This window comes from Homo sapiens, chromosome 19 (genome assembly GCF_000001405.40).
Source record: "Homo sapiens chromosome 19, GRCh38.p14 Primary Assembly".
Classification (NCBI taxonomy): domain Eukaryota; kingdom Metazoa; phylum Chordata; class Mammalia; order Primates; family Hominidae; genus Homo; species Homo sapiens.
The window spans coordinates 43,911,622-43,936,750 of NC_000019.10; the positions used below are offsets into that span (position 1 = coordinate 43,911,622).

The window sequence follows — 25,129 nt, forward strand, 5'->3', positions numbered from 1 at the left end:
AAATAGGCAAATGGATAGCAAACGAGCAGTGGAGATGCTCAATGGCCATTAGGGAAGTGTAAATTAAAACCAAAATGAAATCCCGCTATAACCCTTTGAAATCCTAACAACAAAATAAAAATGAAACCAAACCCTGACATACCAATTGTCAGTGAAGTTAAGGAACTGGGACTTTCATACACTGGTGGTGGGAATGTAAAATGGTACAGTTATTTTAGAAAAGTCTGTCAGTTTTTCATAGATAAGTATACTGTTACCATACAACCCAGCAATTCCACTCCTAATATTTACTAAGACAATGTGGACACACAAAACTGTTTGCAAATGTTGACAGCAGCTTTCTTCATAATCACTGAAAACTGAAAACCCAAGTATCCCACCAGTGATAAATGGATAAACAAACTGTGGAACATCCATATGACAGACTACTACTCAGCAATAAAAGAAATGACTTCTGTACTGATATATGCAACAAGACAGATGAGTCTCAGAAGCATTAAGTGAAAGGTGCGACTCCAAAGGAAACATACTCTAGAATTCCATTTATATGACATTCTGGAAATGATATAAACTATACAGACAGAAAATGAGTCAGTTGACAAGGGCTGGTGGTGGGGAGAGGAGCTGACTAAACAGAACAAGCAAGTTTCAGGGCAGGGGGTACTAGAACTATAGACTATCTTGATTGTGATGGTGGTGTTCACATAACAGCACTTGCCAAAATGCATGATAGAGTCAGTTTCACTGTATATAAATTATTCCCTAATTAAAAAAAGAATGTTAGCTTATATGATTTTCATGGATGCCTTTTATCTCATTGAAGAATTTTTTCATCATGAGTGGATGCTAAATTTTGTCAAATGTTTTCTCTGAATCTACTGAGATGATCATACATTTGATCATAAGAATCCAGATATAAGAGTACATACTAAATCCATAGGAAGCTCAGGAACAGACCTAATTAATTTATGGTATAGAAATCATAATACTTGGCACTGGAGGTGGGATTGACTGGAAATGGGCACAAGAAAACTTTTTGGTTTAATAGACATATTGTATACATTGATCTTGGTGATGATTACATTTGTCAAAATTCAGAAAGCCATGAACTTGAGACTTGTGCATGTTACTGCATGCAGATTACACCTCAATAAAGTACTGTTAACATACAAAACTTCTAGTTGCTAGCCAGAAACTGATTTCTGAACCCACTAACAAGCTGCAACCTTCAGTTTGATAAACACTTGTCCACGAGATCTGCAAAAATGGGAAAATCAGGCCATATGACTAACTTATATATCCTCCAAGCCTTGCAGAATTCTTCTGAGTACAATTTTAGAGAAACTTCTAGAGATAAATAAAAATGTCAAATATTACTGAATTTCAAATATGACAGTAATTTCAAATACTACTGAAAAATTACAACGTATTAGGCACTGAAAAGGCAGAGTAGATTTGGCAGTCAACAAAGTCCCTGCCCTCTTGGATCTTATATTCTAGTGGAACAGAATTCAGCATTTCTATCTTAGTACTTCTGATTTACTCCAGATCAGACTCATCCTTCCTGATCCTCTTGTCTGCATGTATCAGCTAATGGTCAATGTTCTGAATGCAGTCCATATGTCTCCACTCTTGTGAGGCTTCTCTGCTGTGTGGTCTCCCAATCACTTGGCTGAACTACTGACTCTATAAAACAAATGTTTTGTCTATGATAGCTCTGATTATTAAAATATTTCAGCACCCATCTGAGATAGTAAAACATATTTTATCGAGTTTTCCTGTGTGAATCCTCTGATGAAGGAAAGTCCTTGTCACCCTCATCATCAGCATGGACTCGCTGATGAATGATAAGACTTGAGCTCCAACTGAAGCCCTTCCCACACTCCTCACATTTGTATGGTTTTTCTCCGGTGTGAACTCTTTGATGGGCTTGAAGGTATGAGCTCCAGCTGAAGACTTTCCCACATTCCTCACATTTGTATGGTCTCTCTCCTGTGTGGACCCTCTGGTGGGCTTGAAGGTAGGATCTCTGTCTGAAGCGCTTACCACACACATCACATCGGTATGGTTTTTCTCCTGTGTGGACTCCACGATGTGCCAGAAAATTGGAGGCCCGACAGAAGCCCTTCCCACACTCCTCACATTGATAGGGTTTCTCTCCAGTGTGGCACCTCTGATGGGCTTGAAGCTGTGAACCTACACTGAAGCCCTTCCCACACTCTGCACACTGATATGGTTTCTCTCCAGTGTGAACTCTCTGATGCACCTGAAGGCTGGAGAACTGACTGAAGGCCTTACCACACCTCTCGCATTTATAGGGTTTCTCTCCTGTGTGGATTCTACAGTGTACATTAAGATCTGAGCTCCGACTGAAGCCCTTCCCACATGTACCACATTTGTAGGGTTTCTCTCCAGTGTGGCCTCTTTGATGGGCCAGAAGATTTGAGGCCTGGCTGAAGCCCTTGCCACACTCCTCACATTTATAGGGTTTTTCCCCTGTATGGACTCTAAAATGAATGTTAAAATCTGAGCTACGACTGAAGCCCTTACCACATGCATCACACTGATACGGTTTCTCTCCAGTATGGCCTCTTTGATGGTCCAGCAGATTTGAGGCCCGGCAGAAGCCTTTCCCACACTCCTCACATTTGTATGGCTTCTCTCCAGTGTGGCTTATCTGATGGGCCTGAAGGTGTGAACCCACACTGAAACCTTTCCCACACTCCTCACACTTATAGGGTTTCTCTCCTGTGTGGATTCTACAATGAATATTAAGGTGTGAGCTGTAACTAAAGCTCTTGCCACATGCATTGCATTTGTATGGTTTCTCGCCAGTGTGGATTCGCTCATGAGCCTGCAGTCGTGAACGCCAACTGAAGCTCTTCCCACACTCTTCACACTTATATGGTTTCTTTCCAGTGTGAACTTTCAGATGAACTTGAAGATATGATCTCTGACTGAAGCCCACCCCACACTCCTCACATTTATAGGGTTTCTCTCCCGTATGAACTATCAGAGGAGCTTGACAATGTGAGCTTTTCCCAACATTCCTCCCACACTCTTCATATTTGTATGGATTCTCTCCAGTGGGAACTCTCTGATGATGGGGAAGATGTGACCTCTGACTAAAACTCCTGTAACTTGCATCATTTGTGTATGATTTTGCTCTACTGTGGACTCTCTGATGGGCTTGAAGACTTGAAAACCGACGGAAGGCATTATCACATTTTTCACATTTGTAGGGCTTCTCTCCTGCATGAGCCCTTTGGTTAATTTGAAGATGAGAGCTCCAGCTGAAACTTTTCACACAATGTTCTCCTTTGTAGGGTTTTTCACCAGTGTGGACTCTGTGAACTTGAAGATGGGAACTCTGATTACTGAATCCCTCATCTTTATAGTGCAAATCATCTCGTTTTTCCAACTGGCAGCCTGTTCTTTGAATATTTACCACAGAATCTTGATACTTGATTAACTCTCTTGTAATCTGTTGCCAGATCTGGGAGCAGAAAAGCTCTTCATGAGGCAGGTACCTTAATCCTACTTCTTGAAGAGTCTCCATCTCTTTTAGATTCTTGGCTCCTAAAAGGATAAAGAAAATGTGGAGATGGGGCATGTGAATAATGTTTTGTTCCAAGATGTCAAGTTTATAAACTCGGGCCCATAGCCTAAGGCTTCATTGAACCAGGAGAAGGTTCCATTGCCTACTGCATAGACATCTGAACAAAGTGGCCCTGTTCAAAATGTCTAGTAAAACTCCTACACATAAATTTTCAAAAACCTTTGCCTGGGATTATTTCATTGGAAGTTTATTCCAAGGTTGGGAGATGTTGAGGCACTGTGCTAGTTAGAAAGACACATTTTTCAGAAAATACCTTATCACCTAAGTCAGGGCCCCCAACCCCTGGGCCGTGGATCAGTACCAGTCCGTGGCCTGTTAGGATCTGGGCCACACAGCAGGAGGTGAGCGGGAGGCCAGTGGGCATTACTGCCTGAGCTCTGCCTCCTGTCACATCAATGGTGACATTAGATTCTTATAGGAGTGCGAATCCTATCGTGAACTGCGCGTGCGAGGGATCTAGGTTGCGTGAGAATCTAATCTTATGAGAATCTAACTGAGGTCTGATGATCTGAGGTAGAACAGTTTCATTTCAAAACCATCCCCCCGACCCCAGTCTGTGGAAAAACCATCTTCCAACAAACCAGTCCCTGGTGCCAAGATTGGGGATCACTGACCTACATACCTAAAGTTCGAGTGTAAACAGATAGTGGTCCTTTACCTCTTGCTAGGAAATAGCCTCCATGAGAACACCTGGGAGAAGAGGTTTATGGTAATAACACACATTATTCTAAAACCTGATAGCAATTAAAGTTTCCATAACCACCAGGGGGGTTTCACCATGTCGGTCAGGCTGGTCTCAATCTCCTGACCTCGTGATCCACCTGCCTCGGCCTCCCAAAGTGCTGGGATTACAGGTGCGAGCCACCGGCACCTGGCCTTCTTTTTGTTTTTTTGAGACAGAGTCTCACTCTGTCACCCAGGCTGGAATGCAGTGGCACAAACATGGCTTGCTGCAGCCTCAACCTCCTGACTCAAGTGATTCTCCTGCCTTATCCCCCCAAGCTGCTGGGACTACAGAAGCACACCATCACACCTGGCTAATTTTTGTACTTTTTTGTAGAGATGGGGTTTCACCATCTTGCCTAGGCTGGTCTCAAGCTCCTGAGCTCAAGCTATCCACCTGCCTCAGTCTCTCAAAGTGTTAGGATTATAGCTGTGAGCCCCCACGCCTGGCCCAGTGATGCCTCTTTATCACTCAATATCAGATAGTAAATTCTCCCCATCTACATTACACCCCTGGCAATTTCCATTCACCTGTTTTGTTTTGACAAAGCACATATTACCCTCTGACAAACTATATATGTCCCTTATTATTTTTTATGTCTCTGTTGAATGGATGTTGCCATCCATGAGAACGAGCATTTTATATCATTCACCACTTTATCATCACCCAAGAGCTCTGCCTGACTCAACACAGTGTTCAATAGATGTGTTGAATAAAAGAATTCCCACTTGTCTTCTCTGGGAGACTTTGAGCCAAATTACAAAAGTGAAAGAACTTTTTCAAGTAAACGATGCATAATGGGAAAGGGACTGGAAAGAGCGATTCTTCTGGGAAGTTTAAAGGTTTCACCAGATTCAGGGCTAAGTGGATGGTGCTGATAAGAAAATCATGCTGATCACAAAATCATGGTAAGAATTACTTAGGAAAAAAAAAAATCATAAGGCAGAAAAGTGGCCAGGGGATCTAGGGACTGATTGCTTCTAAAATTTTTGTTCTCTGATTTTTCCTTTTTCAAGTAGGAGTCAATATTTAGAGCCTCGGGAATAATGTTTTCTCTGAAAGCAGACTATAAAAATGGATGGATGTAAATATATTTTTCTATATAGATCACACCATTGTTTTTCAAACTGAAGGCTAGGACTATTAGTGAGTTGGAAATAAATTCAGTTGCTTGTGACAAGCATTAACAGAAAAGAAAAATATTAGACGTGTTTTGTAAGCAAGAAATGTATTTCTCCGCATAAATTCTTGTTTAAGGCCACACACACACACCTACCCATATGTGAATGTTTGTATTTATGATATAAAATGTATTTCTTATTGTAACTCATACTCAAAAGTTTGAAACCTCCCAGTCTAAATGATTAAGAAAGGTATTAATTTCTTAATCAAACAAATTGTTCAAATAGAAAGTTACATTGTAATAATGGAAACTTGGGAAACAGATAAATGTGTTTCCTTTAAGTTGAAGCCTACATAGTTTGTCATGTCTGTATATACTTTGCAAGTTTTCACTTTTATTTTTATTTATTTTTTTTGAGATGGAGTTTCACTCTTGTTGCCCAGGCTGGAGTGCAATGGCGCGCTGTAGGCTCACTGCAACCTCCACCTCCCAGGTTCAAGTGATTCTCCTACCTCAGCCCCCCAAGTAGTTGGGGTTACAGGTATGCGCCACCATGCTCAGCTAATTTTTGTATTTTTAGTAGAGACGGGGTTTCACCATGTTGGCCAGGCTGGTCTGGAACTCCTGGTCTCAGGTGATCCACCCACCTCTGCCTCCCAAAGTGCTGGGATTACAGGCGTGAGCCACCATGACTGGCTGCAAGTTTTCACTTTTAAATGTGACTTTTTTTGGTCTTCCTGAGAATGTGTCAATTTGAGGAGGGCAATTTCCCTATTTTGCCCAGGTTATAATGTTTCTAATTGAAAATGATATGTTAGGCCCTTATTACAATGCAGAGAAAACTAAAATCTACCTTCTTTAGTATATGTTTATTTAATGGCTATCTTCTATAACATTTATTTGCTTAGTGGCTAATTTTGTAGAAAATAAAGGCATTGCCATACATACCATATTTGAATAGGGACTACTAAAATGATAAGTAATATTCTTTTCTGTAACTCTCTTTGGAAGAGGTGGATGGTTGCCACAAAGAAAATTTTTAAAGGGAAAGACTTAAAAGCTATTCTCTAAACATTGTTTTTTCCTTGTGTAAAGTGTTTTTGGGGACCTGCCTAAAACGTGGCTATGAGAACCTTTATTCTAAAAAGTAGTTCTTCACCAAGTGAGCAAGATTCACTATTAACAGCTACAGGAAAGCCACAAGGGGGAAATGATACTCAATTTGATTACAACTAAAGCTAAGCTTTCATTAGATGTGAGTGTTATGGTCTCAATGTGTGTGCCCTTGCCATTTGTATGCTGAAATCCTAACTCCTAAGGCATTAGGAAGGTGATTATGTCATGAGGGCAGATCTTTCATGAATAGGATTAGTGCCCTTATAAAAGAGGCCTGAGAGAGATTTCTTGCCCCTTCCCTGTAAGGACGCAGCAAAGAAGGTGCTGTCATTGGATCAGGAAGTGGGCCCTCAGCAGACACTGAATCTGCTGGTGCTTTGAACATGGACTTCCCAGCCCCCAGAAATGTCAGAAATAAAATTCCGTTGTTTATAATTCCCCCAGTCGGTAGTATTTTGTTTTAGCATCCTGAGCAAACTAAGTGGGTTAATGAATACAGATCTTCATATATCCAAAAGCACCCAATAAATTAGAATTAGATTAGATATTCATCAGGGGGAAAAAAACTGTTCTAGACTATGCCTTCGTCACACATTTTTGTTTGCCAACCTTGGAATATCTCCAAGGCTAACAGAAAAATGTCCAGCAGCCCCAGCCCCTCCTCACCTGAGGAGTTATCTCTCTGGGTTGCCATCTTCATCATCCACAGCTTTTCTTCTCTCTCTAACTGTGGTAGGCCATCTGGTGTGGACTGATGCCCTGTGAAAAGGCAAGGACATAGGTTTATAATTAATACATCAGAAGCCAAAATTACTCAAAATTATTGTCCTCATTTCATCGTCTTCAGGACATCAAACTTAGTGTTTTCCACACTTCTAATCATGACCCATTGGAGGAAGTATATTTCATGCAAAGACCCAAGATATGCAGATATAAGTATAAATTACTGGGAAAAAAAATGTTTTCATCATACCCCCTCCATTGTCTCTCACATTCTTCTTGGCAACAGGACATAGTTTTTGCTGCAATGTGCAGTTATTGCCAAGTGCTCTGACATTTTCTACCCCATTTTATTTCATTAAAAAAACCAATGGTACAATTCATCAAATGTATATCAGGACCCACTAACTGGAGATGACCACAATTTGAGAAAGGATAAAAGTGTATAGTTGTCATGCTGTCAATTTATGGTTCATTAACAAAATACACACTTTTGCCAGGGGAGAAAGACTTTAAAAATTCCATATCTGTCTTATGATGGATGATTAGAAAACTGAAAACCAGTTCAAGAGCTCCAAAGCCCTGTATACCCAAGGACAGAGAGACAACAGAGGGAGCCAATGTTCAGTCAGAGAATGCCTGTCCTCACCCACTGAGACCACATTCCTGAAGTTCTCCAGCATCACATCTCGGTACAGCTTCCTCTGGGCAAGGTCCAGCAGTTGCAGCTCCTCCTCAGAGAAGACCACAGCCACGTCCTTGAATGTCACTGCCTCCTACAACATCAAACACACTCCACCTAAATCTTGCAATAAAGGTCCACTGGAAAAGGGATAGCACTGAGAAATGTGAAAAAGATGTGTAGGGAAAGGTGTCAGATTCTTAAGAGACCATATTCAACTTTATTACAGTTAAACACATATAAAGTGTATTATATTTTAGGTTTTTCCTTTTCATAATAAATGCTGTAAAGAACAACTTTTTGCATAGATATTACCCACCTATTTTCTTAGGTAAGTTCCAAGAAGTGAAAAATCACAATGTCAAAGAATATGCAACTTCCAAATTATGATGTACGACAGATTTTCTTTTCAATTTTTCCCTGTCTTATCCTTCCCCCAAGATAAAGTATCATTGATTTTCCATACCATAGATAACACTGAATATAACCAATTTTTAAAAAATCCTAGGCAATCTGTTCATTAAGAAACAACTGGGTTTTTTGGTCTGTAATTAACTAGTAAGATCATATTTTCGTATATTTACTGGACATCTTTATTTTTCTTTGGTATCTCACCTGTTACTGTCCTTTTATTGATATTCCATTTAGAATTTTATCTTATAACTCTGTAAAATTTCTAGTGATGATTTTAAGTCGTTTTTTAGCATATACGTTGTTGTTCACCTACATTTTGCTGGTGTTTTATAGCTTTGTGTTCAGGAGTGTTTCTTAAACTCAACACTATTGCTGTCTTGGGCGGGATAGTTGTCTGCTGTGTGGGGGTGTCTAGGGCACTGTAGGGCATTTTGCAGCACCCTTAGCTTCTACCTACTAGATGCTGGTAGCACCCCCGACCTGTGGTACCAGGAATGTTTCCAGATGTTGCCGGGTGGGGGGGGGGGGCAGTGGGCGGTAAAGTCACCCATGATAAAGAAGCACTAGCATATCGTATTGGTTTTTTTTTTTTTTTTTTTGAGACAGAGCCTTGCTCTGTTCCCCAGGCTGGAGTGCAGTGGTACGATCTTAGCTCACTGCAATCTCCGCCTCCTGGGTTCAAGTGATTCTTGTGCCTCAGCCTCCCGAGAAGCTGGGAATACAGGCGTGCGCCACTATGCCAGGCTAATTTTTGTATTTTTAGTACAGATGGGGTTTAGCCATGTTTGTCCAGGCTGGTCTCGAACTCCTGACCTCAAGTTATCCACCTGTCTCGGCCTCAGAAACTGCTGGGATTACAGGTGTGAGCCACTGTGCTCGGCCAGCATTATCATACTGTTTTAACTTTTCATATGAAGACTGTTCATCCCTGGAGCCCTGCACATTCAGGTACCCTAAATGAATGACAGTGGTCATAGAGAAGAAGAGGCCACTGGAGAGTGAATCGAGTAGGGGCAGTATTAGCTGAGGCATCTTCCACTAACCAGGACAAGCTAGGCACCCACACAAAAAGGGCCAGGTCCACTAAGTGGAGAATTCTTTTTCTTTGCCTCTCTCTCTTCAGTCAAGTAAAAATCCTGGAGTCTTTTGAAATCAGTTGGATCTTTGGTATCCTATGTGAAACTAAGCAACTTTCCACAATTCTACAGTCTTGTTTCTTTGTAATTAAAATGCACATGAGACCAAGGACTGCCTCATAAAGTTGGTTTGAGGAATAAATACAGTAAGAGAAGTATCTGGTAAGTCCTCTTGTACTGCTAGACTTTTAAAATTAAGTACATTATTACTTCAATAAAATAAGTTAACATAAGAGTAAAAGAATACGGATCAGTAAGTAAACATACATAGGGTATAACTCAGGCCTGGGTAAGAAAAATCTAGCTTTCTTTTGTGGAAATATCTAATAATATTTTCTCTAAAATCAGTGGCATCATGTCACACGATGTCATATCTGAATCATTGACATAGGAACTACCCAAAGTACCACATATCAAAAGTACTTTTTCAATATAGTGTTTCTATAACATTAAAAGTAAATAATAGCAAAACTCCTTCAAATTGCTTTTTGGAAAAAATGGTTATTTGTGGGAAAACTGTAGTAACAATTTTCAGTAAAAATTCTAAACTACCTAAACATTGATGAATGAGGAGAAAAGTTATCTCACATACACACCACAGAGTAACATCAATTCAAGGGACTATAAAAATATGGAGCAAGTAATATTAATTAGAAAAGATGTAACTTGAACATTTTGTCTATACAATGCTTATAAATACGCAGTTATGAATACATCTGAGGAAAAGAACATGGAAAATCAAAACAGTTGTTTTGTAAGGGAAACAGTAGGAAAATGAGAGATTTTTATTGTTACTGACTTTTCTATTCTATGCTTATTTATCAAATTATAAAGTCATAAAATAAAGCAACAAAAATTAAACAACACAAAAGTAAAAAGCAGCAAGCATTTGGCACACAAGAGGTTCTCAAATGTCTACCGTTCTCCTTCATCTTCCTAACAAAGAGAATAAGGTGTATGTAATCTTTCCGAAATGAGATGACAATTATTACGGAGAAAGGGAGGTCCAACTCACCTTAGACTTCGTCATTTTGTCCTCCTCCTTCTGGAGAAGTGCCAAGTCTTAAGAGGGAAGGAGAAAACATGAGGGAAGGAGAAAAAAGCCATGAGAGTTTGGCCAAAAAAAAAACCATAGCTGTTTTTTTGTTTTGTTTTGTTTTTTTTAACGTGAAATAGCAACAGTGTTCCTTCCTCGGGCTGGCTTGATGAACAGAAACTAGGCTGGATTCCAGATACTACTTGTCCCTTTGGCTGTAAGACCCTGGCAGCAAGTGACCTGCCCGACCACACAGAGTATGCCCCCAACATAATTTCTCCTTGTGGCTCTCAGGGTATGACTGATTCTAGGGAGAGTAGAAATTGAGAGTAAAATACCCAGATTAAGAGTATTTGGCCCCTCTGGAGCCAAATGCCTAGATTTATGGCATTGCTATTTATTCGCTATGAAATCCAGGACAAATTATTAATATCTCTGTGCCTCAGTTCTTTCATCCATAAAATGAAGAGATTAACAATGAGAGAATTAACAATCTCATAGGATTGTTTACAAATTAAATGAGGGAAAAAGCTCAAAGAATATTTTCAGAGTACCTTATTTCTTAGCTGCAGAAAAGCACATAACATAAAACCTGTGCTCATTAATGGTTTCTACCAATAAATTCTTTGTTTTTTTTTTTTTTTTTTTTTTTGAGAGAGGGTCTTGCTCTGCTGCCCAGGCTGGAGTGCAGTGGCACAATCATGACTCACTAAAGCCTTGACCTCCTGGGCTCAAGCGATCCTCCCACCTCAGCCTCCCAAGTAGCTGGGACCACAGGTGTGCACCACAATGTCCAGCTAATTTTTTTACTTTTTGTAGAGACGAGGTCATGCTATGTTGCCCGAGCCAGTCTCAAACTCCTGAGCTCAAGTGATCCTCCTGCCTCAGCCTCCCAAAGTGCTGGGATTACAGGTGTGAGCCACCACACTCAGCTGATGAATTCTTTAGTAGAGGTTTTTTAACCTCTACTTTAACCTCGCCTTTAACCTCTGAAATACCTGTTATTCTCTCTTGGTTTCCCATACTTAATTTGAGGCTTTTGCAATAGTATTTAAGATTACAGTGGTCCTTCCTATCCATAGTTTTGCTTTCTGTGGTTTCAGTTACCTGAAGTCAACTATGGCCCAAAAATAGGTGAGTACAGTGCAGTAAGATATTCTGAGAGAGAGAGAGAGACCATGTTTATAGAACTTTTGTTACAGTATTTTATCATTATTCTATTTTATTATAAGTTATTGTTGTTAGTCTCTTACTGTGCCTAATTTATAAATTAAGCTTTATCATAAGTATGTAGGTAAAGGAAAAACATAGTATATTTAGGGTTCAGTAATATCTGAGGTTTAAGTCATTCACTGGGGGACTTGGAAGGTATCTGCTGTGGATAAGGGGGGACTACTGTACATAGATGACTGCTTTTTTTGATAGTAAAATATGTAACATAAAATTTACCATTTTAACCATTTTTTAAGTGGTTACATTCAGTAAGTACATTTACATTGTTGTGCAGCCATCACCACTATCCATCATCAGAATTTTTTATGTACCCATTAAGTAATAATTCCCCATTCCCCCTCCCAGCCCCTGATAACCACGTTATCTCTATGAATTTGACTATATGGACTGGTTTCTAAAAGGTATAAGACCTTGCAAAATTTGGCTGTGTAGAGTGGCTCATGCCTGTAATCCTAGCACTCTGGGAGGCCAAAGTGGGAGGACTGCTTGAGGCCAAGAGTTCAAGACCAACCTGGCCAACAGAGTGATCTCTAAAGAGAAAAAAAAAAAATCTAAAAAAAAAAAAAAAGACCTTGCAAAATTTACTTTAACAGTAGGGCCTTAAAAAGACTATCATAGAGACAGAGAAAATTTAATAAAAAATCATGACTCTGCAAGATTTATGCAACTATAAATTAGATAATGTCACTGAAATTAACAAGCTATAGGAAGCACAATAATAACAACAAAAATGGTGATATTTAACTAAATACATATTAGGGACCTTATGAAGAACTTGGCACATGATGTTTCATTAAGGTACTTCACACATACCTGTGAAGAAGCTACTGTTGTATCAGTTGTGTGACCTTGGTCCAAACACCTAAACTTCTGTGCCTATGCTCAGCTATAAGAAGGGAAATGAAAACAGGATGTTAATCATAGGATTACTGTGAGGAATCAATGAGTGAATTTATGCAATGCCCTTGGCATAGTACCTGGCATTTTAGGGAGTTCTCAACAGATGATAATGACGACAATTGTATCCATTTAACAGGCGAGGAAGCTGAGGCTTGGTGAGGTCAAGAGGCAGGAACAGTACCTGAATCCAGCTTTCATACCAGAGCCAGTATTCTAAATCTTGTCTCTCTGTTGCTTCTAAAGACAAAAATAAGCAGATGGGAGTCTAAGATCTCATGGAAGGAGAAATGAGGGCTCCAGAGTTAGGGGTAAAAGACAGACACAGAAATGGAGATTGGACTCTGAAGCCAAGGGAGCTGCTTGAGGGAGTAGAGAACAGAGTTGTGAACAGTCTAGACTCCAGAACCAGCCCACCAGTACTGGAATACAGGCATGTCCAACTTGCTAGTACTTTGTGCTCTAATGTCTAATCTATAAACTGGATGTAATAATAATACCTACTTCATAGGAAGGTCAGTGAAAGTGACTAAGTATACACAAAACATGTGGAACAGTTTCTGGCAGCTTAAACAATCAATAGAAGTTACACATAAACCCATGCAGATGCTTTACATGAAACAGTCAGGGAGCCCCTCCCTTGCTGCTGTGGACCAATGTCTGTGTCCCCTCAAAATTCTTATGTTGAAGCCCTAATGTGATGTTATTGGGAGGTGGGGCCTTTAGGAGGTAATTAGGTCATGAGGGTGAAGCCTCCATAATGGGATTGCTTTCCTTGTAAGAAAAGCAAGTAACCTAGCTCTTTCTCTCTTCCTCCCAGGAAGATACAAGACAACAGCTTCTGCGAACCAGTAAGAGTGGCCTCATTAGACATTGGATTTGCCAGTGACTTGATCATGGACTTCCCAGTCTCCAGGACTGTGAGTTATAAAGGTTTGTTGTTTAAGCCACCCAGCCTATGGTATTGTTTGTTATAGCAGCACAAATGGACTAAGGCACTCACGGAGTCTGCAGCTTCACATGGCTTGATGATGGGGAAACATGGGCTGGATTCCAGATTCCACTTGACCCTTCAGCAGAGAGCCTCTGCACAGTGAAAAATGGAGTTCTTGTAGCTCTCAGGGTATGATTCTGATTCTATGGAGGGTGGAAACGAGTAAAATACCCAGATTAAAAGCTTAGTATTAGTTAATTACTGCTTGATTTATTAGTAAATTATTCTTAGTTCTCTTACTTCAGATAGAAGAACCCTTACTATTGAAAAGGGAAACATAAAACCTTCCAATCTTAGAAGAAATACTTATTTATTTATTTTTCTGAAATGGAGTCTTGCGCTGTGGCCCAGGCTGGAGTGCAGTGGAATGATCTCAGCTTACTGCAACCTCAGCCTTCCGGGTTCAAAAGATTATCCTGCCTCAGCCTCCCCAGTAGCTGGATTATGGGCACCCGCCACCATTCCTGGCTAATTTTTTTTGTTTCTTTTGTTTTTTTAGTACAGATGAGGTTTCACTATTTTGGCCAGGCTGGTCTCGACCTCCTGACCTCAAGTGATCCACCCGCCTTGGCCTCCCAAAGTGCTGGGATTATAGGCGTAAGCCACCACACCCAGCCTGAAATACTCTTTTAGAATTTGTAATTCACTTTGTTCTAACTCTATATTTGCCCAGCAACCTCTGCTCAGTAAGAATGTTTTGCAGGGGATATATTTCCATCGCCTCGGGAAAAAAAAGAGATAATAGCAAATCAACCATCTGTCTTGTGATGAATGTTTATTCAGCTTTATATCCCAAGTACCTAAAACAGTTCCTGTACAAAGTAATTGCCCAGCAGAAATGACTGAACCCACCATCAGACATGGAGAGGCATATAGGAAGACTAGACTAGTTGGTCTAAGTCTCCCTGAGACTGACTCCAGTTGGGAAGATTTGGAGAGCAAGGGTTTTATTTCCAAATTTTTCCTCTAGGTCTTTCACCATATTTGCTGTCCTTGGGCAAGATCAGAGTCATCTTTGGAAGGAAAAGCATCTCTGGATTTTGTTAAATACCATCTTAGGAAAGTACTCTCTGCTCTTCAAAGTCAGCGACGACATGAGTCACTGTTACAGAACCCACAGAATGTGTCCCTTAAAATACTGAGAATGAACACTATTTTACTGCCTGCATAATTAGCACTAGACAGGTGAATTTATTACTACTTCATTAAATAGATGAGTTTATTAACTCAGTGAAGACTTGTGGGAACCTTACTAAAAGAGATGCAATTCCCCAGCCTCAAGATGCTCACAGTCTAGTGATGAGGAAGCTGGCAATTCCACTATACATGGCTAAATGCCAGAGTAGTGCACAGCATCCTTTAGCGGCATGAGGAATGGGCTCATAAGCCCACAGTGGAATGCAGGGGTTCTACACAAACGTAGCTTAATCTGAGCCCTGGAGGGTGACTGAGCTCTATTAGCCAGAGAATCCAAATCACTATAAAACTCCCAGAGAACAAATGTCATGATGTGAAGACAAATAACAGGCAGAAAGAGATGGGCAGGAAGGCAGAATTCAAACCATGATGACGTTCAAGTCACAAAATTATCTGCAAGTCAGCAGGAGAACACTGAAGGACTTCTGGAAAGGAGAGTAAAAAGATTCCTTTCATGTTAGAAACAGATTACCCTCTCAAACGGGAGGAGGCTTGAGGGGGAGGAGGCTAGGGCCAGAGAGACTATTAGGAGAGCCACACTAAGAAACTCTTTCTTCTTTATTCAAATGTCACCACCTCAGAGTCTCTCTCTAGCCATCCTGTAGATAATTTCGGTCTCCTAACTGCACCCCAACACTTCCTATCCCTCATCTCTGCTTACTTCTTTTCTCTAAGCCCTTATTCCTCTCTAACATCCTTCTAGGTATTTACTTACTTATATTCATTACACTTGTCTAATGTGGAGTTTCGTTACCTGCTCCATCCCCAACACCTACTAAGTTGCTACAAGCATTTGGAAGGAACCCAAAGATTTGCAGAATGACTACTTTAATGACTCAGTGAATAGTTGATAGATACACCATGTGGATCAGGGCCTCATTATTTATCACCTGAACCATTCATTCAACATATGATTGTTGAAGGGTCTACTCTGTGCCAGCCAAGGGTCCTAGATGTGAAATATACAGCAGTGAACAAAGACCTTGATCTCACAAAGATGATATTATAATGGGCTACGAGGGCATAGCAAACCCCCAATATATAGCGAGAGACACTTTTAAGAACAATAGGGCAGGGTAAAGAAATAAAGAGATGAAAGGAGGGGCTGTCACAGAATAAGTTTTTGTCATGAAAGATTTCTCTTATATTTGAACAGAGACCTCAAATATAGGAAGAGAAAGCCATGTAGAGATCTGATATCTGAAGGCATGTAATTCAGCCCTGAAGAACATAGAAAATTTTTTTTTGTTAAAAAGCCATAGGTCTGGTATTTAGCAAAGACATGGAATCAACCTAAATGCCCGTCGATAGCAGTCTGGATAAAGAAAATGTGGTGCATATACACCATGGAATACTAGGCGGCCATAAAAAAGATGTCCTGGCTGGGCGCGGTGGCTCATGCCTGTAATCCCAGCACTTTGGGAGAGTGAGGCAGGCGGATCACCTGAGGTTAGGAGTTCGAGAACAGCCTAACCAACATGGAGAAACCCTGTCTCTACTTAAAAAAAAAAATACAAAATTAGCCAGGCATGATGGCGAATGCCTGTAATCCCAGCTACTCAGGAGGATGAGGCAGGAGAATTGCTTGAACCTGGGAGGTCAAGCTTGTGGTGAGCCAAGATCGCACCATTGCACTCCAGTCTGGGCAACAAGAGCGAAACTCTGTCTCAAAAAAAAAAAAAAAAAAAAGATGTCCTTTGCAGGAAGATGGATGGAGCTGGAGGACATTATTCTTAGTAAACTAATACAGGAACAGAAAACCAAATACCGCATGTTCTAACTCATCAGTGGGAGCTAAATGATGAGAATACATGGACACACAGAGGGGAACAACAGACACTGGGGTCTCCATCAGAGGGTGGAGGGTGGGAGGAGGGAGAGGACCAGAAAAAATAACTCATGGGTACTAGGCTTAATACCTGGGTGACAAAATAATCTGTACAACAAACCCCCATGACACAAGTTTACCTGTATAACAAACCTGCACGTGTACTTCTGCAGTTACAGAAGATCAAGGATGGGACTAAGAACCTATTTCTACCAATATCCCAGGTGATGCTAATGCTGCTGGTCCCTAAATTACAATTTGATAGCATCAGTTAAAACAGCTCTCTAGATATTTTCAGACAGACTAACACTTGAGGTTTTCACCTCCAATTTTTCTACTAACCCCAATATACTATCCTATTGCCTAAGGGCAAAAAGAACTAAAGAAGGTAAAAACAAACTGCAAGCTTCTCTTTCTCTCTGATACTAACAAACAGGAATGAAGGTTTGTTAGGATCAGGAGTGCCAAGATCAACTCTATGCTCCTAACATTAACCACGAAAAAACCCAGGCCACTCATAAAATACTCCCTATAATGACAGCAACTGACATTTAGAGCAACTGACTGGCTGCCTACCAAGGCACTGTTTACATAAATTCTTCACATGTAGTATCTCATTTGATTTTCATAACGATGATAGAGATTGAGAAAATAATTATGCCCATTTTACAGACAAGGAAATAGAGGCACACAGAAGTAACTTGTTCATGTTTAACAAGTGGTCAACAGAAAAGTCAGGATTTTCACCCAGTGCCTTATCTACTAGAACACTGGCTGCGCCAGGCAATGAACCCAGGCAATCTGACACCTGTGCCCATGTTCTTAACCGCTCGACAGTGGTTCTCAAACCCTGGTATGCATCCATATCAAAAGGCCTGAGGTTCCATGTGCTGCCTTGATACCTTTGAGACTCACAGGGCCCTGAAGGCCTAGCCATGAGCTCCCGGCTCTCTCCAGATATGCCCTCTCAGTGGGAAAGGATCCCTGCCCGCCTAGTTCCTCGTGTGTTAACCATGTTTTATGTACTGGCTATTTGATATCTGCTATTCCTAATCTCTCCCTAAGTCTGCTGAATCACAGGGCCAGACTAACAACCAAAATTATGTGCATCTTCCCTGCAAGCAGCTTTCACCGGTGGGAGAAAGACATATTACAAAAGCATAGGCCCCAGTTCCTTTCTCTGTCTGCTTCCTGACCCTTGCCTGTAGTGGGCTTCATGTGGTCTGGTGTGGTGTGATGTACCAGTGGAACTCTAAGTATTAAAATACTATTCATTGGCATTAATCTCTCCATGTTGTCACTCAGCCGCTTTTATAAAATTAAGACTTAGGCACAATTCATCCTATTTAGCCAGACCACCTGTACCCCACCAGGTCCTCCACATAACAGGTTTTGCCTCCCTGCCAGCCTGTAGAATTATCCAAATGGTCAATTAAATCTTCTTGCAGGAACCAAGGGTCACCCTGCTACCCTCCTGTCACTACAAAATCAACCTACCATGGCCCCTGTTGGTTCAATCTATTCTCAAGTGCAAGTCCCCTGGGCTGTGAATATGTGACTAATAAACTGCTACCAACCTCTTCTGCATAGGCTGACTGTAGGGTTTGTGTGTTCAGCCACCTCCTGCCAGTTCAAGTGATGTCTTAGTCCATTTTTGCTGCTATAACAAAATACCACAGTTATAAAGAACAGAAATTTCTCACAGTTCTGAAGGATGGGAAGTCTAAGATCAAGGCTCCAGCAGGTTGTGGGTCTGGTAAGGGCCTTTTTGCTGTGTTCTCACGTGGCAGAAGGGTAGGGGAAAAGGGGGATGGAGGAATGCTGTGTCTTCATAGTCTTCATATGGCAGAAGAACAAGGGAGGTGAACTCTCTCTCTGAAGCCTCTTTTATAAGAGCATTAACTCCTTCATGCCCTCATGACTTAATCACTTCCCAAAGGCCTCACCTCTTAATAACACCACAATGGGGATTAAGTTTCAATGTTTGGGGGACACTCAGACAGCAGCAGGTGGGGGAATCCCTCCTTCACCAATGGGGTGAATAGGTGACCAGAACCCCCGAATTACTAATAAAGAACACAGAAGTTCAAGCTCATAGAAGTAGTGTAGGGCCTGGGTCTTATGATTCTGATGTGACCACAGTTCAAGAACCACTGCATTATTCTACACTGCCTCTTAAAGAGTTGACGGAACTGTCCAAGGGCACCCAGGAAACCAGGGGCATGGCTCTGCCTGGCACTCAGGCCTACTGATTATCAGCTCCCTGCTCCTCTCCAGTATAAGATGCCCCTAGAGCTCTCTATAAGAGGAAAGGGCTGCAGAATGACTGGTAATGCCTCTGGAGGCAAATTCTCAGAATGAAAGGGGAGGCTTCCCTTAGATCAGTGCTGTCCAACAGAAATATAATGCAGGCAAGCTATTCGTGTAATTTAAATTTTTCTCATAGCTACACTGAAAAAGGTAAGATGAAGCAAGTGAACTTAATTTCAACAATATATTTTCTTTAACCCAACATATCCAAAGTATTATCCCCTCAACTTGTAATCAGTATAAGAATTATTGAGGGATTTTACTTTCTTTTTTTCATACTAGATCTTTGAAATCTGTTGTGCCTTACCATTATAACATATCTCAATTCAGACTAGTTACGTTTCAGGTGCTCAATAATCACATGCGGCTAATGGCTACACTATTGGATAGTGCAGGTTTAGACCTTTTTATTAAGGCAATATAGACTATATAATCATCTCACAGGGACTTGCTAAGTTCAAAAGACAGCAAATTAGTTGTAGGTTTCAACAATCACTATCATAGAAACTATGCACATTTGTTTAAATATGTAACAGAATTAAAGTATCCATAGAAAAAGTGGAAAGTGGGGAAGAAAAGAATACTTAAAAATATACCTTTGAGGCTGGGCACGGTGGCTCACGCATGTAATCCCAGCACTTTGGGAGGCCCAGGCGGGTGGATCACGAGGTCAGGAATTCAAGACCAGCCTAGCCAAGATGGTGAAACCCCGTCTCTATTAAAAATACAAAAAAATTAGCTGGGTGTGGTGGCGGGTGCCTGTAATCCCAGCTACTCGGGAGGCTGAGGCAGAGAATTGCTTGACCCTGGGAGGCAGAGGTTGCAGTGAGCTGAGATCGTACCATTGCATTCCAGCCTGGGCAACAGAGTAAGACTCTGTCTCAAAAAAAAAAAATGTATACATATATATATATACCTTTGCTCCTTCAATAACTTGTTGCATTTTTCAACTTATCTGTAGAAGATGAAGGCCAGCTTTAGTCTATAATACACAGAGGACTTACTACATGCGAGGCACTATTTCAAACATGTTACCTATCTCTTTTAGTCTTCACAGAAACTTTACGAGGTAGTTATTAATATCATCCCTACTTAACGGGTAAGAAAACTGAGGCACAGAAAGGTCAAGTAACTTGCCCAAGGTTATTCAGTCACTGAGTGTTCCAACCTAGCTGCTGAGGTTTGATTCTGGCTCTGCCCCGCTGATTGTGCCACCAGTTCATCTGTACAGTTAACTTGTGTGTGTTTGTTTTTTCATCTTTAAAATCAGAATAAAATAGAACTGTCATAAAGAACAAATAAGCTAGTGCATGGAAAGCACTAGAAATTCTCCAAGTCATAAGAAACACCCAACAAATGTCAGCAGTCCTCATCAGAATCTCCATGTGATAAATATTAAACCTGGCCAGGCATGGTGGCTCATGCCTATAATCCCAGCACTTTGAGAGGCGGAGGCGGGCAGATCACTTGAGGTCAGGAGTTCAAGACTAACCTGACCAACATGCCAAAACCCCGTCTCTACTAAAAATACAAAAATTAGCTGGGCATGGTGGTGCACGCCTGTAATCCCAGCTACTGGGGAGGCTGAGGCAGGAGAATTGCTGAAACCCAGGAGGCGGAGGTTGCAGTGAGCCAAGATCGCGCCACTGCACTCCAGCCTGGGTGACAGAGCAAGACTTTGTCTCAAAAAACAAACAAACCAAAAAACCCAAAAAACTGAACCTTAATAGTGGTCTGATTTGTCTTTAAGGGAGTTTGTTTTAGATCTTGACAATATTATCCACAATTGTTCATCAACTTTTGAATACCCTGAAAAAGTTGATGGATTCTACAGCCCACCAAACGTGAGATAACAGACAAGGACTGTGGATAATCCTTCTATTTTGTTCTCTAATTGCAAGCTGTAGCACCCAAAATCCAGATGCCTGTTGGAGAGCTACATGAATCACTTACTCACTGAATAACTCCTCTTTGCAAACCTCTTGCTGGGTACTCTTGAGAAGAATATGATAATGTCCATGAAACAGAGGTCCCTGAAGTCTAATGGGAGAGAGATAGGAAACCAAGAGTTATATGCCAGTGGCAAGTGCAACTCCAAAAAAGCAAAGAAAATCAATCATCTTTCTTTTCCTAATTGCAACTCTTTCTAGCTTTCTCACATAAGTAGCATTCTCCTAGCTGCCAGGAGTGAAAAACCTCAGAGTTACTGTTAATATCTATTATGGGCTGAATTGTGTGTGCCTCTCTCAAAACGTTAAAGTCCTAACGCTCGGTATCTCAGAAATAACTGTCTTTGGAAATAGGGCCTTTAAAGAGGTGATGAAGTTGACTTACAGCAAGGGAGCTCACGCACACAGAGGGGAGAGGCCTTACAAGCCACCAAAACTGGTGACACCTTGATTTTGGACTTTTAGCCTCCAGAACTGTAACAAATACATTTCTGTATAATCCAGCCAATTTGTAGTATTTTCTTATGGCAGCCCTGGCAAATGAATATAATTGCCCCTCCCTTGGCCTTCATATATAAACGATTAGTGAGGCCTAGCATGGTGGCTCACACCTGGAATCCCAATACTTTGGGAGGCTGAGGTGGGCGGATCACTTGAGGTCGAGTTTGAGACCAGCCTGGCCAACATGGAGAAACCCAGTCTTTACTATAAACACAAAAATTAGCAGGGCGTGGTGACGGGCACCTGTAAAGCCAGAGGCAGGAGAATTGCTTGAACCCAGGAGGCAGAGGTTGCAGTGAGCTGAGATCGTACCACTGCACTCCAGCCTGGGCAACAGAGCAAGATTCCATCTCAAAAAAAACAAAAAACAAAAAACACAATTAATGATAATTATTAGTTTTTAAGCCTTACTGACTCATCATCTGGGTTTGTTTTAAAATACTCAAGGGAAAAAAAGTTGGTGGGAGAGGCAATAAGATTAGCAAGAATGGAAGCAGGGTGACTGTACATAAGAGTTCATTATATTTGGGTATGTTTGGATATTTCCATAGTAAAAAATAAGGGAATAACAACCCACTATGAATAGTGTGATAACAATTTCATAAAACACAGACAAAAACACATTAAAAACTGCTAAACAGAAATGCATTAAAATGTTAATAATTATCTATATCCTAGTATTAAGGAAATTTGTAATATTTTATATTTCTGTATTTTCTACATCCTGTACAGAGAACGTGCATCTCTATGATCAAAATATGAACTACTAATATTGCTTAAAATTAAATGAGAATTCTTTCAAAATTTTCTAAAGTCTAAACTCAACCTTGCTTTCAAAATCTTCTACAGTAAAATTCCAACCTCCCTCCCCAACTTGATCTCAAATGGCTCCTCTGCAGCCAGTTTCCTATGATTATTTATATGGATCATTTATCTATTTTATTTCCTAATTCTAAATTGGGATTTCAAACTGTGAGACCAAGGGTATTCAGATGTAAGGAACCCAAGTCTAGGACACAAATCCCACTGTTCTTACTAGCACTGTGATATAGGAAAGTAAATTAGGCTCTCTCCATTTCCTCATCTGTATAATTGGTGTAATAACAGTACCCATATCACAATACCCACATCACCTTTGTAAGGTGAACAGAACCCACAACACAAGGCCTTTGTGAAGGTTCAGTGTGTTAGTTTTTATAAAGCCCTCAGAGTGATACTCAGCACCCAATGTTTAACTAGTGTGACTAATATTCATGTCACATTTTCTCCAATTATACAATAACGGAACACTTCTGTAGCAGAAACATTTGCAAGGAATGAAATACCTTCTCGCACTCGGAACAGAAGAGGAAGGTGAATGCTAGGTCCTGTCACAGTGGGGCTCTGCTGCCAGAAGCCAGGATGCTCTCCTTCCTCCTCTCCCGCAGCATTCTTTCAGAAGTCAGGGCAGGGGAAGGAAAGGAGGCTGGGAGATTGCACGATCTTGTCTGAGATCCTGGAAAATCCACAGAGGATAACTCCAGACGCCACCTGTTGAGTGATGCACTCTTTCTTAAAAAACGGGTCAGGCATAGTCCAAGAACAGCCTCCTTTCCTGCAGGAATCAGAAAGAAGAGCCAGGCGCTTGCTGAAAAATGAATATTTTTTATTATGATAGTTTTAATATTAACGGCCGACATGTTGCCACATTCCTGTACTATTCCATACACATTTTACTTGTACTATATTACTAATTGTCAAAACAAATATATAAGGTTAATATTTCCTTTTGCAGAAGAGGAAACTAAGACCAGAAACTAAGCACCGAAAGATTAAGTTCTCACCCAACGTTACACCGCTAGGAAGCTACAGAGCTGTGGGAGGTGGGGGAAGGCGGGTCGGGCCGCTGAGAGCCCAGGAGATCCTCAGACGCCTCCCCATTCAGGTCCACTTCCAACCAGGGGACTCCCGAACCGCCCCGAACGCAGCAGCTCCGGATACAGTAAGGCAATCAGCTGCCCAGCCATTCAACTCCGCCCTCCGCTGCTCGCCGCAGCGTCTTTTCCTGCTGACCGAAGTGCGAGCCCTGCTGATCCTACGACCAAACCATAAAAGTTAAAACAGGTCGCGGGGTCCCAGGACTCACTCACTTCCACGAGAGGAATGAAGGCCGCGCTCTCAACCTCTTGCCGCGGAAGTGCCCGGGAGAGCAGGGAGCTCTGGAACTACATTTCCCAGCATCCCCGGGAGGAACGGAAGCCGCTGCCCCGCCCCCTGGGCGGAAGTGCGGGCTTCGACTCCCACGGCCGAATCTTATTTCTCAGAATCCCCAAGGGGAGCGGGCTTCGTGTTCTCGTCCTCAAATAGTCGAAGTACCACCGAACCCACTGAGCACTGGGGTATAGGTTCCTATTTCCCCAGGGGAGCAAATAACAAAGCCGCGCTTTCCCAGAGCTGAAGTGCCCCCAAAAGTCTGGACCACACGTCCCAGAATCCTCTGTAGGGCTGAGCTTCCCGCCAGCCTGCAATTTTCCTTTTGAATTAGCGGGGGGAGTCTAAGTCATTGCTTGTAGAGCTCAGCCTGCTTTTTCCTTTTGCCATTGTTCCCTTTTATACGTGACAGAAGTTGCGAATATGAAAAAAAAAAAGGAAAATACAAAGGAATGCTATGTGTGAGCTAAAAACAGAGGTAATAAAAGAGGTGGCCAGAGCCGCCCAGAGCAACAAGCCTTTTATAATATGGGTATGGATTCATCTGTGATTAAAAATGCTCAAAAAAGGAGATGCAATCATCCAGCAGGACATGAAACAAAAGCAGCAAAATTCTCCACTTTTCTTGCGCTTAGTTTTCTTTCATTCGCAGGATACTGAAGAAAGTATTATAGTATTGAATAGGCTCTATCCTATATAAAATCTTGAAAACATTCAGTTCAGATTAAGGAATCACATCACTTCTTGCTCTCAGAATCAGGAATCTGTAAAGGTGTCTTATGATTTGCCAAAGTGTCTATGAATATTCAGTAAGGAGAGGGAGGTGAAGTGAGGGATTAAGACATGAAGTGCAAAAAATACAGAAAGCTATACTATTCACTTTTCTCCTAGGTAGAAACTAAATATTTTTCCAAGTTTATTATGAAAGGGTAAAGAAGAAAAAATGGAAGTTGACTACATAGGAGTAGCTGTAAACATCTGAACAATGTTCAATTTAGGCTGAGGCAGGAGACCAGCAGGGCGTGATTCCAAGATCAGATAAGAAACCTGCTGAAACCAGCAAGTGATGGAAAGCAACCTGTAAGTTCCCTTTGCTACCTATCAGTATAAGACACTCCCACCAGCGCCGTGACGGTTTATAAATGCCATGGCAACACCTGGAAGTTACCAACCCCTTTTCTAGAGATTTCCGAGTAACTCACCCCTTAATTTGCATGTAATGAAAAGTTGGTATAAATATACCCAGCCAACAGCCCATATGCTGCTACTCTGGGCACACTGCCTGTGGGCTAGTCTTGGTCTGCAAGGAACAGTCACTGAGCTTTTAACACTGTTGATTCGATAAACCTGCTTTCTTCCGCTGCTGGCTTGCTGTTGAATTCTTTCCTGAGCAAAGCCAAGAAACTGCCCTGCATCAATGCCATTTCAAAATCTGGATAAGTACTCTCTCTACTTTAGTA

General features: G+C 41.3%; 1 protein-coding gene and 1 long non-coding RNA gene across 47 annotated transcripts in view; one reads left to right on the plus strand and one right to left on the minus strand.

The window, feature by feature from the left end:
• The window catches only part of ZNF45-AS1 (ZNF45 antisense RNA 1), a 33,949-nt gene extending 9,756 nt beyond the window's left edge, over nucleotides 1–24,193 (plus strand). Inside the window, exons 2-3 of the long non-coding RNA NR_184050.1 lie at nucleotides 13,521–13,633; nucleotides 14,665–24,193. This is a non-coding gene — a long non-coding RNA (ZNF45 antisense RNA 1). The remainder of the gene's footprint in view (nucleotides 1–13,520; nucleotides 13,634–14,664) is intronic.
• Nucleotides 1,003–23,661, minus strand: ZNF45 (zinc finger protein 45). Of its 46 annotated transcripts, none has more exons than XM_047439333.1 (12): nucleotides 23,609–23,661; nucleotides 22,805–23,073; nucleotides 20,987–21,069; nucleotides 19,626–19,744; nucleotides 18,297–18,376; nucleotides 13,704–13,837; nucleotides 12,781–12,940; nucleotides 12,617–12,689; nucleotides 10,550–10,596; nucleotides 7,952–8,078; nucleotides 7,249–7,341; nucleotides 1,003–3,579 (listed from the first exon to the last, which is right to left on the minus strand). In XM_047439333.1, the coding sequence occupies exons 9-12, from the start codon at nucleotides 10,562–10,564 to the stop codon at nucleotides 1,766–1,768; spliced, it is 2,049 nt and encodes a 682-aa protein (XP_047295289.1). In that variant the 5' UTR covers nucleotides 10,565–10,596; nucleotides 12,617–12,689; nucleotides 12,781–12,940; nucleotides 13,704–13,837; nucleotides 18,297–18,376; nucleotides 19,626–19,744; nucleotides 20,987–21,069; nucleotides 22,805–23,073; nucleotides 23,609–23,661; the 3' UTR covers nucleotides 1,003–1,765. The 46 variants fall into 46 exon arrangements, with proteins under 46 accessions (XP_047295289.1, XP_047295281.1, XP_047295284.1 ...); XM_047439325.1 differs by having other exon boundaries at nucleotides 18,297–18,379; XM_047439328.1 differs by having other exon boundaries at nucleotides 20,983–21,069.
• Nucleotides 24,194–25,129: the final 936 nt, after the last annotated feature.

Coding starts and splice junctions, on each gene's coding strand:
- ZNF45 (XM_017027227.3), bottom strand. Junction 7,342..7,951: donor CAGGAATGTGGTCTCAGTGG/GTGAGGACAGGC, acceptor GCCTTTTCACAG/GGCATCAGTCCACACCAGAT. Junction 3,580..7,248: donor CCAGAGAGATAACTCCTCAG/GTGAGGAGGGGC, acceptor TTATCCTTTTAG/GAGCCAAGAATCTAAAAGAG.